The 23,456-nt window shown below is 37.3% G+C and overlaps 1 protein-coding gene across 46 annotated transcripts in view; it reads left to right on the forward strand.

Annotated features, from left to right (window-relative positions):
• The window catches only part of RPS6KC1 (ribosomal protein S6 kinase C1), an 811,495-nt gene that overhangs the window by 133,347 nt on the left and 654,692 nt on the right, over positions 1-23,456 (forward strand). For 3 of the 46 annotated variants that reach the window (NM_001349660.2, NM_001349662.2, NM_001349661.2), the window contains one exon: positions 20,652-20,802. The exons of 42 other annotated variants lie outside the window; for them this stretch is intronic. The gene's annotated coding sequence lies outside the window, so the exon portion shown is untranslated. Of the gene's footprint in view, positions 1-13,991; positions 14,072-20,651; positions 20,803-23,456 lie in introns of all 46 variants that reach the window. One more of the 46 variants, NM_001349659.2, reaches the window with a different exon arrangement.

A 23,456-nucleotide genomic window follows, 5' to 3' on the forward strand; every position in this document is an offset into this window, starting at 1 on the left:
ATTATTTGAAATTTTTCTTTTTTAAAAAAATTGGGCATTTATTGCTATAAACTTTTCTCTTAGTGCTGATTTTGCCATAGCCCACAGATTTTGGTATGTTGTATTTCCATTTTCATTTGTTTCGAGAAGTTTTTTAATTTTCTCAATTTCTTCATTGACCCATTGGTCAGTCAGGAGCATATTGTTTAATTTCCGTGTGTTTCTGTATTTCTGACGTTCCTCTTGTTATTGATTTTGTGTTTTATCCCATTGTGGTCAGAAAAGATGCTTGACATGATTTTTTTAAAAATTCGCTCATACTTGTTTTATGGCCTATTTTGTGGTCTGTTCTACAGAATGTACCATGTGCTGATGAGAAGAATGTGTATTTTCTAACTGTTGGGTGAAATATTCTGAAAATGTCAGTAGGCCTATTAGATTTAGTGTGTAGTTTAACTCTGGTTTCTTTGTTGATTTGCCGCTGGATGATCTGTCCATTACTGAGAGTGGCAGTTAGAGTCTGCTACTATTATTGTATTGCAATCTGTCTTTTCTTTATTAGATCTATTATGTTTATTTTATATGCTTGGTTTTACAATCTTAGATTTGTAGTCTGTTTTATCTAAGTAGAGCTACTCCTGTGCTTTTTTGTTTTCCAGTTGCATAGAATATCTTTTTCCACCCCTTCACTTTCAGTCTATGTGTCTTTATAGGTAGGGTAGGTTTCTTGAAGACAGCATATAGTTGGGTCTTATTTCTTTATTCAGCCACTCTGTGCCTTTTAATTAGAGAATTAAGGCCTGGCACAGTGGCTTATGCCTGTAATCCCACCACTTTGGGAGGCCAAGGTGGGCAGGATCACCTGAGGTCAGGAATTTGAGACCAGCCTGGCCAACATGGTGAAACCCCATCTCTACTAAAAAATACAAAACTTAGCCAGGCATGGTGGTCCATGCCTGTAATCCCAGCTACGTGGGAGGCCGAGGCAGGAGAGTCACTTGAACCCAGGAGGCAGAGGTTGTAGTCAGCTGGGATTGCGCCACTGCACTCCATCCAGCCTGGGTGACAGAGCAAGACTCTGTCTCAAAAAGAAAAAAAAAATTTAAATTCAGTATTATTATTATTATTGATAAGTAAGGACTTACTTTATTTTAACAATCTTTTTTTTTTCCTGCTTATTTTCTGGTTATTTTGACACTCCTGTCTTTTTTCTTGTCTTCCTTTGTGGTTCTGTCTGTCTTTGTGGGTAAGTACTTTTCTCTGGTAGTATGTTTTAATTTGTAGCTTTTTATTTTAGGGAGTGTCTTATGGGTTTTGTGCTGTGGTTGCCAGTTACCATGAGGCTTACAAAAAATATCTTACAAATATAACAAGAGACAGTTCATCTTAGGTCACAAATAATAAGAATAGAAACAAAGGCAAAAAAAAAAACTACACAAAAATAATCTGCAGTTTAACATCATCACCCCCACATTTTGAGTTTTAGTTGTCTCACTTTTCATTTTCTATATTACCTGATTTGATAAAATCAGGTAATTTGATAAAATCAGTGGATTTTGCATCACTGTTAACAGTAGTATAGGATTCTGGGTTTGTTTATATACTTAATTTCACCAGTGTTTTTTCTTTTTTTTTTTAAACCTTTTTTTTTTCCCCTTCAAATTGAAGAACTCCCTTTAGCATTTCTTATAATGTAGATCTGATGGTGGTGAATTCTTTCAGCTTTAGTTTGAGAAATAGTTTCTCTCTCCTTCATATCTGAAGTATAATTTTGCTGAATACAGTATTCTCGGATGGCAGTTTTATTTTTGGTTTGTTTTTTAAGCACTTTGAAAATGTTGTTTCACTCTTGTCTGCGTGGTTTCTGTTGAGAAGTCTTGTCAGACAATGTGGAGGTCCTTTATATGTTATTTGCTTCTTTTCTCTTGTTGTTTTTAGGATCCTCTCTTTGCCCTTGACCTTTGAGGGTTTGATTATTATGCCTTGAGGTAGTCTTACTTGGGTTGAACCTATTTTGTGTTCTGAGATTTTTTTGTATCTGGATATGTATATCTTTCGGAAAAATTTCTGTTATTTCTTTGAGTAAGCATTCTAGCCCTTGGTGTTGCTCAGCTCCCTCTTGAACACTAATAATTCTTAGCTTTGGTCTTTTGAGATAATTTTTAATATCTTATAGGCAGCTTCATTCTTTTCTACTCTTCTTTTTTCTCTTCTGATCATGTATTTTCAGATAGCCAGTCTTTGAGCTTTCCAGTTCTTTCCTCTGCTTCATTCATCTGCTTTGAGAGCCTCCAGGAAGTTCTTCAGTTCAGCAAATGTGTTTCTCAGTTCGAAGACTTCTGTTTGATTTTTTGTTTTTCAGACAGCGTCTCACCATATTGCCTAGGCTTGACTGCAGTGGCACAATCATGGCTCATTTCATCCTCTATTGCCTAGGATCAGTGATTCTCCCATCTTAGCCTCCGGAGTAACTGGGACCACAGGCTTGTGCCAACATACCTGGCTAATTTTTTTTGTAGAGATGGGGGTCTTCCTATGTTGCCCAGACTGGTCTTGAACTCCTGGGTTCAAACAGTTCTCCTGCCTTGGCTTCCCAAAGTGCTGGGATTATACCATGCCTAGCCTCTGTTTGATTTTAAAAGATTATTTCAGTTTCTTTTTTTTAAATTTTTTTCTTCTTCTTCTTTTTTTTTTTTTTTTGAGACAGGATCTCACTCTGTCACCTAGGCTGGAGTGCAGTGGTTCTTGGCTCATTGCTGCCTCCACCTCCCAGGTTAAGGTGATTCTCGTGCCTCAGCCTCCCAAGTAGCTGAGACTACAGACATGCGCCACTATGCCTGGATAATTTTTGGCATTTTTAGTAGAGACGGGGTTTCACCATGTTGGCCTGGCTGGTCTTGAACTCCTGGCCTCAAGTGATCCACCTGCCTCGGCCTCCCACAGTGTTAGAATTATAGGCATGAGCCACTGTGCCTGGCCTAATTTCTTTTTTAAAATTTCTTTGATAAATTTTTGAGTTGCTTTTGTATGTTATCTTGGAGGTCGCTGACTTTCCTTATAACTACTATTTTGAATTTGTGGTTAGAGAACTCACAAATTGCTTTCTTGTTAGGATCAGTTGCCGGATTTTTGTTTTGTCCTTTTGGGGAGGTCATGGTTCCCTGTTTGCTGTTGTTTCTTGTGGGTATATTTTATGTCTTTGCATTGAAGGATAGTTATTAATAGATATTTATAGAATAGTTATTTATTCTAGTTTTTTTTCTGTCCATCTTGTTTTGGTTTCTACTGGATATATTTGCTTAGTGAATCTTTACATCTAGGTAACTGCCTCTTTTTAGCTCTAGGAGGTACCTTAAGCTTGGGTTGACCTCAGCTCTGGTAAATGATCAGAGTGATGCCTGCTCTGAAGGTGAGAGGTCCCAAAGGGATTAGGCTGGCAGTGTGTTAAGGCTAGCTAGAGGTTTGTGCCCAGGAGTCCATACCTCTTCTGCTGAGCAGCCTCTCAGATTGGGCATCTCTGTTTGCTGAGTAGCAGAGCAGACTTTCCAGGGTTGGGGGTGATAGTCCCACCTCCTGTCTTTGTCTCTGCCTGTCCTCAGGAGTATTTCTCCCTTTAGGCAGTCACGATGCTTCCCATGGATTAAGGTGGGGACAAGTCTCCTGCTTGGGAACCCAAGATGTTGGGGAACCTGGATGACCCCCTCAGTCTTACCTTTTACAGTTATAGAAATGTAGTTGGGTGGAGGGAGGGTGAGATTTTCTGCTTGGTGCCAGGCAGAATGGAGGGGGAGGGGTGTCACAGATGTGGAGGTCTGATTCCCTTGCCATCTGTTCAGAGTTGTTTTTTGTTTGTTTGTTTGTTTTTTTCTTACTTCTCCACGGCCCCAGGAATTATCTCATTCTCATATTTGAATTCCATGTTGTTACTGGTAAAAATCTTGGCACTTACATATTTGTTTGTTTGTTTGTTTTTCTATTGGAGAGGGGGGCGTGAAAACAGCTTGCACTTATATTTCTATGTATGAACAATGCACACATAAAAACTGGAATTAAAAATACAATACCTTTATAATAATATTGAATTACTAGATGTAAATATAACAAGACATAGGAGCTTTTATGCTGTAAACTTCATAGCACTGATGAAAGAAATCAGAGGTCTGAATTATTGGAGAAACATATTTATTAGCAGACTCACCATAGATGTAAATTCTTTCCAAATTGATACACAGTTTTAAACAGAGTTTCTATCAAATTTTCCGCAAGGTTTTTTTTTTTTTTAAATGTAAATATAGACCCGATTATTCTAAAACTTATTTGGGAAGTTATAGGAACTATAATAGCTAAAATAGTTTTCAAAAAAGAGTAAGGTGGGAGAGTCACTCTGTTTGATTTCATGACTTTACAGTAATCAAGATTTTGTGGTGCTGGTATAGAGACACACACATAGAGAACAGCATACAAAATGTAGACATAGTCCCACAAATATGGCTAATTGATTTTTGACATAGGTTCAAATCAGTATAATGTAGGAAGGTTAATATTTCCAACAAATATTGCTAGAGTAACTGGGTATTCTCTAGCAATAAAAGTGTACCTTGGCCAGGCATGGTGGCTTACGTCTGAAATCCCAGCACTTTGAGAGGCCGAAGTGGGTGGATCACTTGAGGTCAGGAGTTCGAGACCAGCCTGGCCAACATGGTGAAACCTTGTCTCTACTAAAAATACAAAAATTAGCCAGGCGTGATGATGGGTGCTTGTAATTCCAGCTACTCCGGAGGCTGAGGCAAGATAATTGCTTTAACCCAGGAGGCAGAGGTTGCAGTGAGCCGAGATCATGCCAGTGCGCTCCAGCCTGAGTGACAGAGTGAGCCTTTGTCTCAAAAAAAAAAAAAAAAAAAAAGTGTACGTTGACATATCCTCACACTTCTTAAATTTTTTTTATTTTTAATTTTTGTGGGTACATAGTAGGTGTATGAATTTATGGGTTATATGAGATATTTTGATACAGGGATGCAATGTGTAATAATCATATCAAGGGAGATGGGTATCCATGCCCTCAAGTATTTATTCTTTGTGTTACAAATAATCCAGTTATATTCTTTTAGTTATTTAAAAATCTGCAATTAAGTTGTTATTGACTATAGTCATTCTGTTGTTTTATCAAATTCTAGTTGTTATTAATTCTATTTTTTGTACCCATTGTCCCTTCCCACTTCCCCTTCCGAACCCTACACGATCCTTTCCAGCCTCTGGTAACCATCCTTCTACTCTCTGTCTCCATGAGTTCAATTATTTTAATTTTTAACTCCCATAAATAAGTGAGTACATGCAAAGTTTGTCTTTTTGTGCCTGACTTATTTCACTTAATGTAATTTGACCTCAGCTTCTATCCATGTTGTTGCAAATGACTGAATCTCATTCTTTTTTATGCCTGAATAGTACTTCATTTTGTATATATACCACATTTTTAAAATCCGTTCATCTGTTGATGGACACTTAGATTGCTTCAAATCTTGGCTATTGTGAATAGTGCTGCAGTAAACATGGGAGTGCAAGTATTTCTTTGATTTATTGATTTCCTTTCTTTTGGGTATATACCTAAGAGTGGGATTGCTGGAGGGTAAGGTAGCTCTATTTTTAGGTTTTTGTGGAGCCTCCAAACTGTTCTCCATGGTGGTTGTACTAATTTAGATTTCCACCAAGAGTATGAGGGCTCCCTTTTTTCCACATCCTTGCCAGCATTTATTATTGCTTGACTTTTGGATAAAGGCCATTTTAACTGGGGTGAGATGATGTCTAATTATAGTTTTGATTTGCATTTCTCTGATGATCAATGATGTTGAACAGCTTTTTATATGCCTATTTGCCATTTTTATGTCTTCTTTTTAGAAATGTCCATTCACATCCTTTGTCCATGTTTTAAATTAGACTTAGATTTTTTCCTATAGAGATGTTTGAGCTCCTTATATATTCTGGTTATTCATCCCCTATGAGATGGGTAGGTTGCCAATATTTTCTTTCATTCTGTGGATTGTCCCTTCACTTTTTTGATTGTTTTCTTTGCTGTGCAAAAGCTTTTTGCTTGATATGATCCTATTTGTCCATTTTTGCTTTGGTTGCCTGCGCTTGTAGCGTATTACTCAATAAATTTTTGCCCATTCCAATGTCCTGGAGAGTTTCGCCAGTGTTTTCTTTTAGTTTCATAGCTTGAGGGATTAAAGTCTTTAATAATCAATTTTGATTTGATTTTTGTGTATGGTGAGAGATAGGGATTCAGTTTCACTCTTTTGCATATGGATATTCGGTTTTCCCAGCACTGTGTATTGAAGAGGTTGTCCTTTCCCCAGTGTATTTTCTTGGCACCTTTTGTCAAAAATAAGTTCACTGTAGATATATGACTTTATCTGTGGGTTCTCTATTCTGTTCCATGATCTTTGTGTCTGTGTTTATGCCAGTACCATGCCATTTTGGTTACTATAGCTCTTTAGTATAATTTAAAGTAATGTAATGTGTTTCTTCCAGTTTTGTTGTTTTTGCTTAGGATTGCATTGGCTATTCTGGGTCTTTGTGGTTATATATAAATTTTAGGATTGCCTTTTCTATTTCTGTGAGGAATGCCATTAGTATTTTGATAAAGATTGCATTAAATCTGTAGATTCCTTTAGTGTAGTTATTTTAACAATATTGATTCTTTTAATTCATGAACATGGAATATCTTTCCCTTTTTTTGTGTGTCTTCAATTTTCTTGCATCAGTGTTTTATAGTTTTCATCGTAGAGATCTTTCACTTCTTTGGTTAATTCCTAGGTATTTAATTTTATTTGTAGCTATTGTAAATGGGATTACTTTCTTGATTTCTTTTTCAGATTGTTTGCTGTTGGCGTATAGACATGCTACTAATTTTTGTATGTTGATTTTGTATCCTGCAATTGTACTGAATTTGTTTGTCAGTTGTAATAGTTTTTTAGGGGAGTCTTTAGATTTTTTTCAAATGTAAAATCATATCCTCTGTAAACAAGGATAATTTGAGTTCTTCCTTTTCAATTTAGATGCTCTTTATTTCTTTCTCTTGTCTGATTGCTCTAGCAAAGACTTCTGGTACTGTATTGAATAACAGTGGTGAAAATGGGCATCCTTGTTATATTCTCGATCTTAGAGGAAAGGCTTTCAGTTTTTCCCCCATTCAGTGTGATACTAGATATGGGTCTGTCGTATATGGTTTTTATTATGTTGAGGTAAGTTTTTTCTTCTTTTTTTTGAGATGGAGTCTTGCTCTGTCGCTCGGCTGGAGTGCAGTGGCATGATCTCGGCTCACTGCAACCTCCGCCTCCCATGTTCGAGCGATTCTCCTGAGTCAGCCTCCCAAGTAGCTGGGACTACAGGCACGTGTCACCATGCCCAGCTTATTTTTGTATTTTTGTAGATCTGCCCGATTCAGCCTCCCAAAGTGCTGGGATTACAGGTGTGAGCCACTGCACCCAGCTGAGGTAAGTTTCTTCTATCCCCAGTTTTTTGAGGGTTTTTATCATGAAGGGATGTTGAATTTTGTAAAATGCATTTTCAGCATCAGTTGAAATGATATGGGTTTTGTCTTTCATTCTGTTGGTATGATGTATGACATTAATTTATTTGCATATGTTGAATCATCCTTGCTTCCCTGGGATAAATCCCACTTGGTCATGATGAATGATCTTTTTAATGTGTTGAATTTGCTTTGGTAGTATTTTGTTGAGTATTTTTCCATCAGTATTCATCAGTCATGTTGTTCTATGGTTTTCTTTTTTTTGATGTATCTTTGGTTTTCATATCGGGGTAATACTAGCCTCATAGACTGAGTTTGGAAGTATTCCCACCTCTGTTTTTCAGAGTAGTTTCAGTAGGACTGGTGTTCTTTAAATGTTTGGGATAATTCAGCAGTGAAGCCATTGGGACCTGGGCTTCTCTTGCTAGGAGACTTTTTATTATGCTTTCAATCTCATTACTTGTTATTGATCTCTTCAGGTTTTGGATTTCTTTATGGTTCAATCTTGGTAGGTTGTATGTCTCTAGGAGGTTTGTCAATCTTGTTTACCTTTTCAGAACACCAACTTTTTGGTTTGTTGATCTCTTGTATTGTTTTTCTCATTTCAAGTTTATTTCTGCTCTAATCTTTATTATTTCTTTTCTTTTAATTATGGGTTTGGTTTGCTCTTTTCTGGTTAAGATGCATCATTAGGTGGTTTATTTTACATTTTTCTTTTATTTTTGATGTAGACACTTCCAGGTGTAAACTGCCCTCAGTACTGCATTTGCTGTATCCCATAGATTTTGGGATGTTGTGTTTCCATTATTTGTTTCAAGAAATTTTTCAGTTTTTTTCCTCAGTTTCTTTGTGGACCCACTGGCCATTCAGAAGCATATTTCTTAATTTCCGTGTATTTCTGTAGTTTCCAGAAATTTCTCTTGTTACTGATTTCTAGTTTTATTCCATTGTGGTCAGAAAAGATGCTTCATATTATTCCAGTTTTTTTTTTTTTTAACTGTTTTGAGACTTGTTTTGTGACCTGCCATATGGTCTGTCCTTGAAAATGATCCACGTGCTGAGGCAAAGAATGTATTTTCTATAGCCATTGGAAGGAGTGTTCTGTAAATATCTGTTAGGTCCATTTGGCCTATAACACAGATTAAATTTGATGTTTCTTTTTTGATTTTCTTTTTTCTTTTTTCTGAGTCAGAGACTCGCTCTGTTGCCCAGGCAGCAGTGCAGTTGCACTATCTTGGCTCACTGTAACCTCTGCCTCCTGGGTTCAAGTGATTGTCCTGCCTCAGTCTCATGATTAGTTGGGATTACAGGCACATGCCACCATGCCTGGCTAATTAATTTTGTATTTTTAGTAGAAATGAGGTTTTACCACATTGGTCAGGCTGGCCTTGAACTCCTGAACTCAAGTGATCCACCCGCCTTGGCCACCCAAAGTGCTGGGCTTACAGACGTGAGCCACCATGCCTGGCCTCTTTGTTGATTTTCTGTCTGAAGTATATGTCTGATGCTGAAAGTGGGGTATTGAGGTCTATAGTTTTTTTTAGTTTTTATTTTTATTTTTTCTGATGGAGTCTCACTACGTCACCCAGGCTGGAGTGTGGCGGCAAGATCTCGGCTTACTGCAACCTCCACGCTTAAACGATCCTCCCACCTCAGCCTCCTGAGTAGCTGGGACTATAGGTGCGCAATACCATGCCTAGCTAGCTTTGCATTTTTTGTAGATATGGGGTTTTGCCATGTTGCCCAGGCTAGTCTCAAACTCCTGGATTCAAGCGATCTGCCCATCTCAGCCTCCAAATGTGCTGGGATTGGAGGAGTGAGCCACCATGCCCAGCCTACGGTTATTATTGTTTTGGGGTCTATTTCTTCAGCTCTAATAATATTTGCTTTATATATCTGGGTGCTCCAGTGCTGGGTGCATATATATTTACAATTATTACATCCTCTTGCTGGATTGACCCCTTTATCATTATATAATTACCTTTGTGTCTTCTTATAGTTTGTCTTGAAATCTATTTTGTCTGATGTAAATATAGCTACTTCTGCTCTGCATGGTTTCCATTGGCATGGAGTATCTTTTTCCATCTCTTTATTTTCCGCCTGTGTGTCTTTATAGGTGAAGTGGTTTTCTTGTAGGCAAAGCAGCATTGGGTTTTTTAAAATCCATTCAGCCACTCTGTGTCTTCTCATTGGAGAGTTTAATCTGTTTATGTTCAATGTTATTGTTGATAGTTTAGGACGTACTTCTGCCATTTTGTTTTCTGGTGATTTTGTGGTCTTTCCTTTTTTCCTTCCTTCCTGTATTCCTGTTAGTGAATGTGATTTTTCTCTGATGGTATGATTTAATTTCTTGCTTCTTACTTTTTGTGTATCTATGGTAAGTTTTTTGATTTGAAGTTACCAGGAGGCTTGCAAGTACTGCCTTATAACCCAGGGGTCCCCCATCCCTGGGCCACAGACAGGTGTCACTCTATCGCCTGTTAGGAACCGGGCCTCACAGTAGGAGGTGAACAGCAGGCAAGTGAGCATTTACCACCTGAGCTCTGCCTGCTGTCAGATTAGTGGTAACACTAGATTCTCATAGGAGCGCAAACCCTATTGTGAACTGTGAATGCGAGGGTTCTAGGTTGCGTGCTGCTTATGAGACTCTTAATGCCTGATAATCTGAGGTAGAACAGTATCATCTCAAAACCATGCCCTACATGTACCCCCTGTCCCCAAGAGAAATTGTCTGAGGTGGAACAGTTTCATCCCAAAACCATTACCCCCACTAGTCTGTGGAAGAGTTGTCTTCCATGAAACTGGTCCCTGATGCCAAAAAGGTTGGTGACTGCTGGTTTATATAACATTCTTAAAATGACAAAATTATGGAAATGGAGAACAGATCTATGGATGCCAGTGTTTAGATTAGAGATGGTGGAGGAGAGAAGGGTGTGTGTGTGTTAGGGGGTGATTTGCAAGGGATAGCAGCAGGGAGAGGTTTGTGGTGATGCAACACTTTTGTTTTTTAATTTTCTAGTTTTTTTGTTTTTGTCCCTTTTGGAGAAAAGGCAAACACATTTATTTAACAGGAGAATCACAGAGTGAGCATCCTGGTGGAACACTTCTGGGTCTTGATTGTGCTTGTGGTTATGAGAATGTATACAATTGATAAGATGACATAGAACTATTAATATGTACACACATAATACCAGTGTCAATTTTCTGCCTATAATAGTATACTGTAGATACATACAATGTAGCCCTTAGAGAAAACTTAATGGAAGGTACGTGGGAATTTTCTGTACAATGTTTGCAACTTTCTAGTGACTCTACAATTATTTCTGAAATAAAAAGTTTTAAAAATTCGTAACGTGTTTATTGGTCTGTCTTTTAAAATTATTTCAATAGTTTTTGGAGAACAGGTCGTGTTTGGTTCCATGAATAAGTTCTTTAGTGGTGATTTCTGAGATTTTGGTGCATCTATCACCTGAGCATTGTATACTGTACCCATTGTATAGTCTTTTCTCCCTCACTGCCCTTCCAGCCTTTCTCCTGAGTCCTCAGAGGTCATTATATCATACTTATACTGTTGCGTCTTCATAACTTAGCTCCTACTTATAAGTGAGAACGTATGATGTTTGGTTTTCTATTCCTGAGTTACTTCACTTAGAATAATGGTCTCCAACTCCATCCAGGTTGCTGTGAATGCCATTATTTTATTATTTTTATGGCTGAGTAGTATTCCATGGTGTGTGTGTGTGTGTGTGTGTGTGTATATATATACCATATTTTCTTTATCTACTTGTTGGTAATGGGCACGTAGGCTGGCTTCATATTTTTGCAATTGCAAATTGTGCTGTTATAAATGTGTGTGCAAGTGTCGTTTTCATATAATGACTTCTTTTCCTCTGGGTAGATACCCAGTACTCAGGTTGCTGGATCAAATGTTAGTTCTACTGTTAGTTCTTTAAAGAATCTCCATGCTGTTTTCGATAATGGTTATACTAGTTTACATTTCCACTAGCAGTGTAGAAGTGTTCCCTTTTCACCACATCCACACCAAAAAATTATTTTTTTTTGATTTTTTAATTATGGTTATTCTTTCAGGAGTAAGGTGGTATTGCATTGTGGTTTTCATTTGCATTTCCCTGATAATTTGTGATGTTGACCATTTTTTCATATGTTTGTTGGCTATTTGAATATCTTCTTTTGAGAATTGTCTATTCATGTCCTTAGCCCACTTTTTGATGGGATTATTTGTTTTTTTCTTGCTGATTTATTTGACTTCCTTGTAGATTCTCCGTATTAGTCCTTTGTGGGTTGCATAGTTTGCAGATATGTTTTCCCCCTCTCTGGCTTGTCTGTTTACTCTCCTGATTATTTCTTTTGCTGTGCAGAAATTTTTAGTTTAACTACATCCCATCTATTTATCTTTGTTTTTATTACATTTGCTTTTGGGTACTTGGTCATGAACTCTTTGCCTAAGCTAATGTCTAGAAGAGTTTTTCTGATGTTATCTTCTAGAATTTTTATGGTTTCGGGTCTTAGATTTAAGTCTTTGATGCATCTTGAGTTGACTTTTGTGTAAGGCGAGAGATGAGGATCTGGTTTCATTCTTCTACATGTGGTTTGTCAATTATCCCAGCACCATTTGTTGACTAGGGTGTCCTTTACCCACTTCATGTTTTTGTTTGCTTTGTTGAAGATCAGTTGGCTGTAAATATTTGGCTTTATTTCTAAGTTCCATTGGTCTACATGCCTTTTTTTGTTTGTTTGTTTTGAGATGGAATTTTGCTCTCGTTGCCCGGGCTGGGGTGCAATGGCGCGATCTCGGCTCACTGCAACCTCCGCCTCCTGGGTTCAAGCAATTCTTCTGCCTCAGCCTCCTGAGTAGCTGGGATTACGGGCATGTGCCACCATGCCTGGCTGGTTTTTGTATTTTTAGTAGAGACAGGATTTCTCCATGTTGGTCAGGCTGGTCTTGAACTCTTGACCTCAGGCGATCCACCCGCCTCAGCCTCCCAAAGTGTTGGGATTACAGGCATGAGCCACCGTGCCCGGCCTCTACATGCCTGTTTTTATACCAGTATTATCCTGTTTTGGTAACTATAGCCTTGTAGTACAGTTTGAAGTTGGGTAATGTGATGCCTCCAGATTTATTCTCTTTGCTTAGTCTTGTTTTGGCTATGTGAGCTCTTTTTTGGTTCCATATGAATTTTAGGACTCTTTTTTTCTAGTTCTGTGAAGAATGATTATGGCATTTTGGTGGGAATTGCACTGAATTTATAGATTGCTTTTGGCAATATGGTCATATTCACAATATTCATTCTACCCGTCCATCAGGATAGGATGTGTTTCCATTTTTTCGTGTCATCTGTGATTTCTTTCAGCAGTGTTTTGTAGTTTTCCTTGTAGAGATCTTTCACCTCCTTGGTTAGGTGTATTCCTAAGTATGTATGTATGTATGTATGTATGTATGTATGTATTTTTTGTAGTCGTTGCAAAAGGTGTTGTGTTCTTGATTTGATTCTCAGCTTGGTCACTGTTGGTGTATAAGTGCTGCTGGTTTGTGTACATTGATTTTATATCCTGAAACTTTATTGAATTCATTTATCAGATCTAAGAACTTTTTGGATGAGTCTTTAGGGTTTTCTAGGTATATGATCTGTCTGTTTTGTCTGCTATATAAGTAGTTACTCCTGCTTACTTTCGGCTTTCATTTGCAGGGAATACCTTTTTCCATCCCTTTTCCTTAAATTTATGTGCGTCCGTATGTGTTAGGTGAGTCTCTTGAAGACAACAGATACTTGGTGGATTTTTATTCATTCTGCCATTCTGTATCTTTCACATGGAGCATTTAGGCCATTTACAGTCGATGTTAGTATTGAGATATGAGGTATTGTTCTATTCCTGATGCTAGTTGTTGCCTGAAAACCATGGCCTTTTTTTTCATTGTGTTACGGTTTTATAGGCCCTGTGAGATGTATGCTTTAAGAAGGTTGTATTTTGGTGTATTTCGATGTTTTGTTTTAAGATTTAGAACTTTTAGCATTTCTTGTAGTGCTGGCTTGGTAGTGGCATGTTCTCTCAGCATTTCTTTGTCTGAAAAATACTTTATCTCTCCTTCATTTATGAAGCTTAGTTTTGCTGGATACAGAATTCTTGGCTGATAATTATTTTGTTCAACAATGCTAAAGATAGAACCCCATTTCCTTCTGGCTAATAGAATTTCTGCTGAACTATCTGCTTTTAATCTAAATAGGTTTTCTTTTATAGGTTACTTGATGCTTTTGCCTCACAGCTCTTAATATTGTTTCCTTTGTCTTGACTTTAGATAACCTGATGACTATGTGCCTTAGGTGATGATCTTTTGCAACCAATTTCCCAGGTGTTCTTTGAGCTTCTTGTGTTTAGATGTCTAGATCTCTGGCAAGCCTGGGGAAGTTTTCCTGGATTATTCCCTAAAATAAGTTTTCCAAACTTTTAGATTTCTCTTCTTCCTCAGGAATGCCAGAGAGAGTAGGAGGGAGGAAGGAAGAAAAGATACAAAATGTCAAAACTCAAATGGGAAGAATAGACTACTGAGTAAGTATGTATATTTTCAAGAAACTGAATCAATAATTAATAACCTTCCAAAATAGAAAGCACCAGGACCAGATGGTTTTACTGTTGAATTTTACCAAATGTTTACAGAATAAATTATATCAGTTATCTGCAATCTCTTCTAGAAGACAGAAGTAGAGGGAATACTTCTAACTCATTATATGAGGCCAGCATTATTCTATTACCAGTTTTTAAATTTACCCAAATAAAATTAAAACTTCAGTCCCCTCAACATACATCCACCCAAGACTGAACCAGGAAGAAGTTGAATCCATGAACAGACCAGTAACAGGTCCTGAAATTGAGGCTGTAATAAATAGCCTACCACACCTCCCCATCAAAAAAAGCCCAGGACCAGATGGATTCACAGCTAAATTCTACAGATGTACAAAGAAGAGCTGGTATCATTCCCACTGAAACTATTCCACAAAATTGAGGAGGAGGGACTCTTTTGTAACTCATTTTATGAGGTCAGTATCACCCTTATACCAAAACCTGGCAGAGATACAACAAAAAAGGAAAACTTCAGGCCATTATTTTTGATGAATATCAAGGCAAATTCCTCAACAAAATACTGGCAAATTGAATCCAGCACCACATTAAAAAGCTTATCCACCACGATCAAGTAGGCTTTATCCCTGGGATATAAGGTTGGTTCAACATATGCAAATGAATAAACATGATTGATTCATCACATAAACAGAACTAAAGGACAAAAACCACATGGTTATCTCAATACATGCAGAAAATGCTTTTGATAAAATTCAACATTTCCTCAGGCTAAAAACTCTCAATAAACTAGGTATTGAAGGAAATACCTCAAAATAATACGAGCCATCCATGACAAACTCACAGCCAACCTCGTCCTGAATGGGCAATAGCTGGAAGCATTTCCCTTGAAAACTGGCACAAGACAAGGATGCCCTCCCTTGCCACTCTTATTCAACATAGTATTGGAAGTCTTGGCCAGGGTAATCAGGCAAGAGAAAGAAATAAAGGGCATTCAAATAGGAAGGGAGTCAAATTATCCCTGTTTGCACAGTGCTATATCTAGAAAACCCCATAGTCTCAGCCCAAAAGCTTCTTAAGCCAATAAACAACTTCAGCAAAGTTGCAGGATACAAAATCAATGTGCAAAAATCACTAGCATTCCTATACACCAACAACAGTCAAGCCACGAGCCAAATCCAGAATGTAATCCCATTCATAATTCCCACAAAAAGAATAAAATACCTAGGGATAAAGCTAACTAGGGAGGTGAAAGATCTCTACAAGGAGAACTGTAAGCCATTGCTCAAATAAATCAGAGGTGATGCAAACAAATGGGAAAACATTCCATGCTCATGGATAGGAAGAATCAATATTGTTAAAATGGCCATACTGCCCAAAGCAGTTTATAGATAATGCTATTTCTATTAAACTACCATTGAGATTCTTCACAGAACTAGAAAAAACTATTTTAAAATTCATATGGAACCAAAAAGGAACCTGAATAGCTAAGGTAATCCTAAGCAAAAAGAACAAAGCTGTAGGCATCATGCTACATGACTTCAAAGTATACTACAAGGCTACAGTAACCAAAACAGCATGATACTGGCATAAAAACAGATACATAGACCAATGGAACAGAATAGAGAACCCAGAAATAAGACTGCATACCCACAACTATCTGATCTTTGACAGACCTGACAAAAACAAGCAATGGGGAAAGGATTCCCTATTCAGTAAATGGTGCTGGGATAACTGGCTAGCCACATGCAGAAGACAGAAACTAGACTCCTTCCTTACACCATTTTCAAAAATTAACTCAAGATGAATTAAAGACTAAAATGTAAAATACAAAACTATAAAAACCCTTGAAGACAACCTAGGTAATACCATTAAGGACATAGGCACTGGCAATGATTTTATGTCAAAGATGCCAAAAGCAATGGCAAAAAACAAAAATTGACAAATGGGATCTATTTAAACTAAAGAGCAAACTTTAAACTGCACAGCAAAAGAAACTATCAACAAACAGAATGGGAGAAAATTTTGGAAACTATGCATCCAACGAAGGTCTAATATCCAGCATCTATAAGGAACTTAAATTTACAAGAAGAAAAAAACAGCCCCATTGAAAAGTGGGCAAAGGACATGAACAGACACTTTTTAAAAGAAGACATACATGCAGCCAACAATCTTATGCAGGAACAGGAGACCACATACCGCATGTTCCTACTTACAAGTGGGAGCTAAATGATGAGAACACTCAGACACATAGAGAGGAACTACAGACACTGGGGCCTGTCAGAGGGTGGCGGGTGGGAGGAAGAATAGGTTCAGGAAAAATAACTAATGGGCACTAGGCTTAATACCTGAGTGATGAAATAATCTGTACAACAGACCCCCTTGACACAAGTTTGCCTATGTAACAAACCTGCACATGTACCCCTGAACTTTAAAAAAACAAACTTATGTTCATACAGTATCCTGCACAAGGATGTTTATAGCCACTTTATTCATAATTGCCAAAATGTGGAAACAACCAAGTTGTTCTTCACTAGGTGAATGGGTAAATCAACTGTGGTACATTTAGACAATGGAATGTTACTCACTGGTAAAAAAGAAATACCTATCAAGCCTTAAGACATGGAGAAACCTTAAATGCATATTACTAATTGAAAGATGACAACATGAAGAAGCTTTATATTATATAATTCCAATTGTATGACTTCTGGAAAAGGCAAACCCATGGAGACAGTAAAAAGGTTAGTGGTTACCAGATATTGGGCAGGAGGTAGGGATGAGTGGTGGAGTGCAGAGGATTTTTAGGGCAGTGTAACTATTCTGTATACTAGAATGGTGGATTGTCCAAATCTATAGAACATACTACAGCAAGATAGAACCCTAATAGAAACTGTGTACTCCAGATGATAATGAGTCATTGGTGTAGGTTCATCAGTTGCAACACATGTGCCACTCTGGTACAGAATGTTCTTAGTTGCGGAGGTTGTGTGTGTTTGAGGCCAAAGGAACTTTTTATTTTCTGCTCACCATTTGTATGAATCTAAAATTGTTCTAAAAAATGAAGTCTGTTTAAAAGGAGAAAAATCAATACAGTCACTGCCATGTTTGGTGAAAGGCATGTGGTACCTTCAATAGTGTGCCTTCATCTAAAATTGTGATACTATAGTTGATGTTAAAATTTTAAGAGATACAGGAGAAATTTTGAGCTGAGTGTCCCAGACAGCTGGCTAGCTATTCCAGATGTGGGACAGACCACTGTGTTTCTAGGTGGTTTTTAGTTTGCTTGGGGTCAAAGTCTTAGGATTACATATTATGTGTACACCATGCAGAATTCTAAGCTCTCTACATAAATTATTTAATGCTCTCAGACAGTTTGCAGATAAAAAACCTGAAGCCAGAGAGCTTAAGTGTTTTGTATAAACACACTAAGTTACAGATCAAGGGTTTAAACTCAGGTCTCTTTCCAAAACTATAGCTCTTTATCATTATTCAGAACTGAATTTCTTTGATTATTATAACATTTATATTCCTTCTCAACTTACTGTATTACAGTATCATTATTCATTAAACTTCCTTTAAAAAATCAGTGTGCCCTAATTAATGAATTTACAATATGAATAATAGCATTTAAAAAAACTACAGCAGCTGGGCGTGGTGGCTCATTCCTGTAATCCCAGCACTTTGGGAGACTGAGGCAGGTGGATCACTTTTGAGATCAGGAGTTCAAGACCATCCTGGCCAACATAGTGCAACCCTGTCTCTACTAAATATCCAGAAATTAGCCAGGTGTGGTGGCGGGTGCCTGTAATCCCAGCTACTTGGGAGTCTGAGGCAGGAGAATCACTTGAACTCAGGAGGTGGAGGCTGTAGTGAGCCAAGATCGCCCCACTGCACTCAAACCTGGGCGATAGAGTGAGACTCAGTCTCAAAAACAAAAAACAAACCAACAAACAAAAACAAAAAACAAACCAAAAAAGACATCAGTCAAAACCCCCTACAGTGACAAATAGGGTTAATTGAATGGCTGAGTTAGGGTCTTATTTTATCCTTACTAGACACCATCATTGTGTGTTTTATAAATACCTCGATGCTTTCAAACCATTTTAAAAGACAAAAATATTTTAATTATGATTGTATTTATTGATTAAAAAATTAAAAATGGGAAACATATAACATTATTACGCTATTCTAAATGCTCTTTAATGGTCTCATAGTTTTCTACTATGTACTGTGGTTTATTTAATTCGTTCTCTTTAGGTTGTTTTCCTCTTTTTTTCTGCCTGTGATGAATATTCTTAGAGGTCAGTCATCTTATGTTTTCTTTAGTATATTTTTTCAGAGTTGGAGATTATGGGTCAAACAGTATATATGCACATTTTAAACTCTCCAGAAATATTACAGTGTTTTAAACTCCTACTAGTAGTACAGATTGAGTTTCCTTTATCTGAGATGCTTGGGACCAGAGGTGTTTCAGATTTTGAAGTTTTTCAGACTTGGGGATATTTGTATTATATATATTTACTGGTTGAGAATTCCAAATCCAAAAATTTGAAATTTGAAATGCTACAATGAGCATTTCCTTTGAGTGTCATGTCAGTTCTCAAAAAGTTTCCGATTTTGGAGCATTTTGGATTTTGCATTTTCAGATTTGGGATGCTCAACCTGTATGTGAGAAGGTTTACTTCCTCGTATCCTTACTGACAACATCTGCCATTTGCTGATGAAAATTTGGATTTCACTGTCATTTTAATGTGCAATTTTAATTGTTAATAGGATATATTTTTAAAATTTTTTATTGACTGTGTTTCTTCTTTTATGAAATGCCTGTTTTAAGTCCTTTTCCTAAATTTTTTTATTAGAGGTTTATATGTTCTTACTGAATTTTCAGAAGCTCTTTTTATAAGAATATGTAAACTTTTGTCTTGAATATACAGGGGTATTTTCCTTCAAGACAAAAATTTTCTGTTTCTTACATGTTCATTATAGAAAAATCAAACAATAAGCTAAAAAAAGGTATAATTCACCTATAACCCTGCTACCTACTGAGAATTATTTTTACATTTTGATTTATACTCCTGCTGTCTTCTTTCTGCACATATATACACTGTTAAGGGCCCCATTAGCCTGTGTTTTCACATAAGGTCATAATGACATTAACATATAAATTATAAAGACTTGGTAGCTTTTACCTGTTAATTAGCGGGATGTCCTTTTCTACCTTTCCCATCCCGGAAGTATTTCTGAGAGCATGGTCTCAAATAAGTTTGAGAATGAATGTGTGTCTGCTGGAAGCTCCTATTCTTCCGCCATTTTCCAGTCCTCCAGAAGTTTCCTGATGGTCCATGTCTGAATTAGACACCCCTCTTCTTTGTTCCAGTTGCACCTGTAATTCTTCAGCATAGTACTTCTTAAACTGTTTTTAATTGCCTCTCCTCCATGCTAAACTTTCAGCTCTTGTAGAGCACAGACCCTATCTGCTGTGTTCATGGTTTTTCTTTATGTCTGATATCTGTGTGTACATAGCAGGCATTCAGTAAATATGTGTTGAATTGACTTTTGTTGAATTTTAATACTCGATTGGAGAGTTAGACACCTTCCTATTTGCACACTTTCCCATCATACATCCAAGTATATGTATAATGTCAATTTCTTTTATCTTTTTATGATTTTCCTTTATGGTTTGCCTTTGATGCTATTAATTAGTTTCTTTTTAATAACCAGAAAGATAACTTTTTGTATCCTTTATTTGTAGTACAATAAAGTTTGTTTTCCATGTTGGTATTCCTGAAAAATCTCATTTTAGTATTAGAGTATGCTGGAATAGACAATATAAATACCTCTAAACTCTCACTTATAGCAGCCTAAATCTGCACGTGCTGTAAGGAAAACATTTTTAAATAATTTGCCATTAAACAATTTCTAATTTAATTGTCACTTTTTTTTTTTTTTTTTTTTTGAGGCAGGATATCACTCTGTCACCCAGGCTGGAGTGTAGTGGTATGATTACGGCTTACTGCAGTCCCGACGTCTTGGGCTCAAGGAATCCTTCTACTTCAGCCTCCTGTGTAGCCAGGACCACAGGTGTATGCCAGCATGCCTGGCTAATTTTTTAATTTTATTTTTTGTAGAGATGGCATCTCGCTTTGTTGTCCAGGGTAGTCTCAGTCTCCTGGGCTCAAGGAGATTCTTCCACTTGGCTTCCCAAAGTGCTGGGATTACAAGCATAAACCACAATGCCTGGCCTCACTTTTTATAATGGACTTAAATCAGTTTGGTTGTTTTAAAAGTACCCTAGCATTTAGCACATGAATACATCTCATTTTGATTAGTGGCCAAAGTATTTTTGGGCATTGTGAGCATTGTACTACTCCCAGGCTGCTTATGGTATGTTATAGTATCAGATACATCTCTTTGGATCCATGCTCTAAGTAGAATTGTGTTGTATACCTTGCTTAATCCATTAAATTTTTACCTGTCTGTTTGAGTATCACCAAAAGAAAGTTGCTATCACAATGTACTTTCTACTTTTTAATCTACTCTACTGATTCATTAGTACACAGCCATGGTGAGACACTTGAGATGTTCTGCTGAAGACAATTGTTACATATTGGGATTCTGGAAGGACAGCAAGCTAGATAAAGATAAGTCATGCTTTTAAGAGTCCCATGGAACATCAGTCATTGTGATGTGAAGAAAGTGATAAGGTAATGCATGAAGCAGTTTGAGTCACTATGATGTGGATGGTGGGAAGTAGCCCTCTTAATCAAAGCTTTAAGAACGACCAAGAACCTAAGGAATAGTTACTTATACCACCAGATTATGCAGATAATGTTAATAACAACAAACTCATTTATATATATAGATATATATATATATATATATTTCAAAAGAATGTAGCAGTCCCATAGGTTTTATATATAGAATCAGCATAGTATTTGATTATAATTAATGATATCATCTTAAGGACTTCATCTAATATACTTATTTTGAAAATAAGATGCAACCATATATTTTTGACATAAATTATAGTTATTTTTCTTCAATTCAATGCTTTGATATTTTATTCTGTATCCCTATCAGTTAAATGTATATATTATTTAAAGTTAAGAGTATACAAGTTAAATATCTCTTATTCGAAATGCTTGGGACCAGAAGTGTTTCAGATTTTGGTGTGTTTTCTCTTTATTTTGGAATATTTGCATTATATTTACCAGTTGAGCATCCCAAATCCAAAAATCCCAAATCTGAAATGCTCCGATGAGCATTTCCTTTGAACATCATGTTGGTGCTCAAAAAGTTTTAGATTTTAGAACATTTTGGATTTTGGATTTTTAGATTTGAGATGCTCAACTTGTATATACAGTGCATTCTGTACTTGCATTTGAATACTATATTTGGATTTGTGGGTGTTTTTATTCCAAAGAGCTCAAATTCCCTTAGTATTTAAAGCACGGTTTCCTAACATTTTTAGAGATAGCATTGTATGGACACTTTTATAATAGGACAACCTTTAAGTAATTTTGAAATAAAAGGACTAGTTTCCTTTTACCTCCTAGGGCTTGGGTTTTATAATCTTAGGATTAGAAAGGGCTTTAAGGTTATCTGACCCAGTGCATTACAGATCTTGTGGTCTATCTACAGTGCCCCATTAAATGGCTCTTCAGCTTCAGGGCCTTTTATTTATCAATTTAACAAATACCTTTTGAATGCTGCCCTGGGGCAGGCACTGTGTTAGGTGCTGGACATATTACAGTATATCAGACATGGTTCTTCTTTTTAGTCTAGTTGGAAAGATATAAGTAAATACATAAGTTGTAAAGCAGCACAGAAGAGGCCATAAAAAAGCATGAAAAAAGACAGAGCCACTTAATGTCACAAAGTCATTTCATTTTACACAGTTCAAAGTCTTAGAAAGTCCTTTTTTCTCTTGAGCCAAATACTGCTTCTTTAGGTCTAAATACCGCCCTTCTCCAGTGATCATCTTTCAGTTATTTCAAGATAGTTAAGTTATATTTCTGATTGGTATTGTTTGTATGTTAATTTCTTTTATCTTGCTTAAAATTGGCCTAAATTACAATTTGTTAAATATTTTTGGATCTTCCTTGTACAAAATTTTTTCTCTTGGGGTTCATATAGTGCTTCTAGGGCCAGGTGTGGTGGCTCACACCTGTAACCCCAGCACTTTGGGAGGCCAAGGTGGGCGGATCACGAGGTCAGGAGTTTGAGACCAGCGTGGCCAGCATGGTGAAACCCTGTCTCTACCGAAAATACAAAAATTAGCCGGGCATGCTGCTGTGCGCCTGTAATCCCAGCTACTCGGCAGGCTGAGGTAGGAGAATCACAACTCTGGGAGGCGGAGGTTGCAGTGAGCTGAGGTCACAACACTGCAATCCAGCCTGGGCATCAGAGTGAGACTCACTATATGTATATATATATAGCTTCTGTGGAATAAATATGCCACCCCAAAATACACTGCTTTGGCATATTTTGAGATGGCTATTCAGAAAAGCTACAGAAAGAGGAATAGCTCTGAAAAGCTGTCCATTTGTGGGGGAGATTTGCATCCCTGGTAGAAATCCACACTAGGAAAGTAAACAGCAGACAGAAATGGACTTTCTTTGAGAATCCCTTATCTGCCTTATTTGGATTTAGGAAAAAACTAACTCAGGAAAAGAGACTGAAGGTCTGACACTGTTAAAGGTGTGACAGAGAAACTTTTTCAACAGGCTACCATCTATTCTTTCTGAGGGCTGCTACCTGAGAGATTTCATTTGTAATACAAAATAGCTTTTGTTCAGCTTGCATTTCCTCCCCTCACCCTTCCACAACCTGTAAGCTATCTTCCCCCACTCTGGAGCTCCAAGCCCCTGACTCTTTTCTGTATTTTCTGTATGGTATAAAAACTTCAGTCATTTGTCCCTTCTTAGAGTCTCATATTTTGTGTGGCTCCCCTGCACATGTGCGTGTTTATAAATTTATATACCTTTTTTTTTGTTTGTTTGTTTTGAGACACTGTGTCACTCTGTTGCCCAGGCTGGAGTGCAGTGGCGCGATCTCAGCTCACTGCAACCTCTGCCTCCTGAGTTCAAGTGATTCTCCTGCCTCAGGCTCCCAAGTAGCTGGGATTACAGGTGTCCACCTCCATGCTGGCTAATTTTTATATTTTTAGTAGAGACAGGGTTTCACCATGTTGGCCAGGCTGGTCTTGAACGCCATACGTCAAGTGATCTGCCTGCCTCAGCCTCCCAAAGTGCTGGGATTACAGTCATGAGCCACCGTACCCGGTCTTGAATACCTTTTCTTCTGCTAATCTGTCTATTGTCAGTTTGTTTTATAGACACAAATTATCAAACCTTCA

This window comes from Homo sapiens, chromosome 1, assembly GCF_000001405.40.
Source record: "Homo sapiens chromosome 1, GRCh38.p14 Primary Assembly".
NCBI lineage: Eukaryota > Metazoa > Chordata > Mammalia > Primates > Hominidae > Homo > Homo sapiens.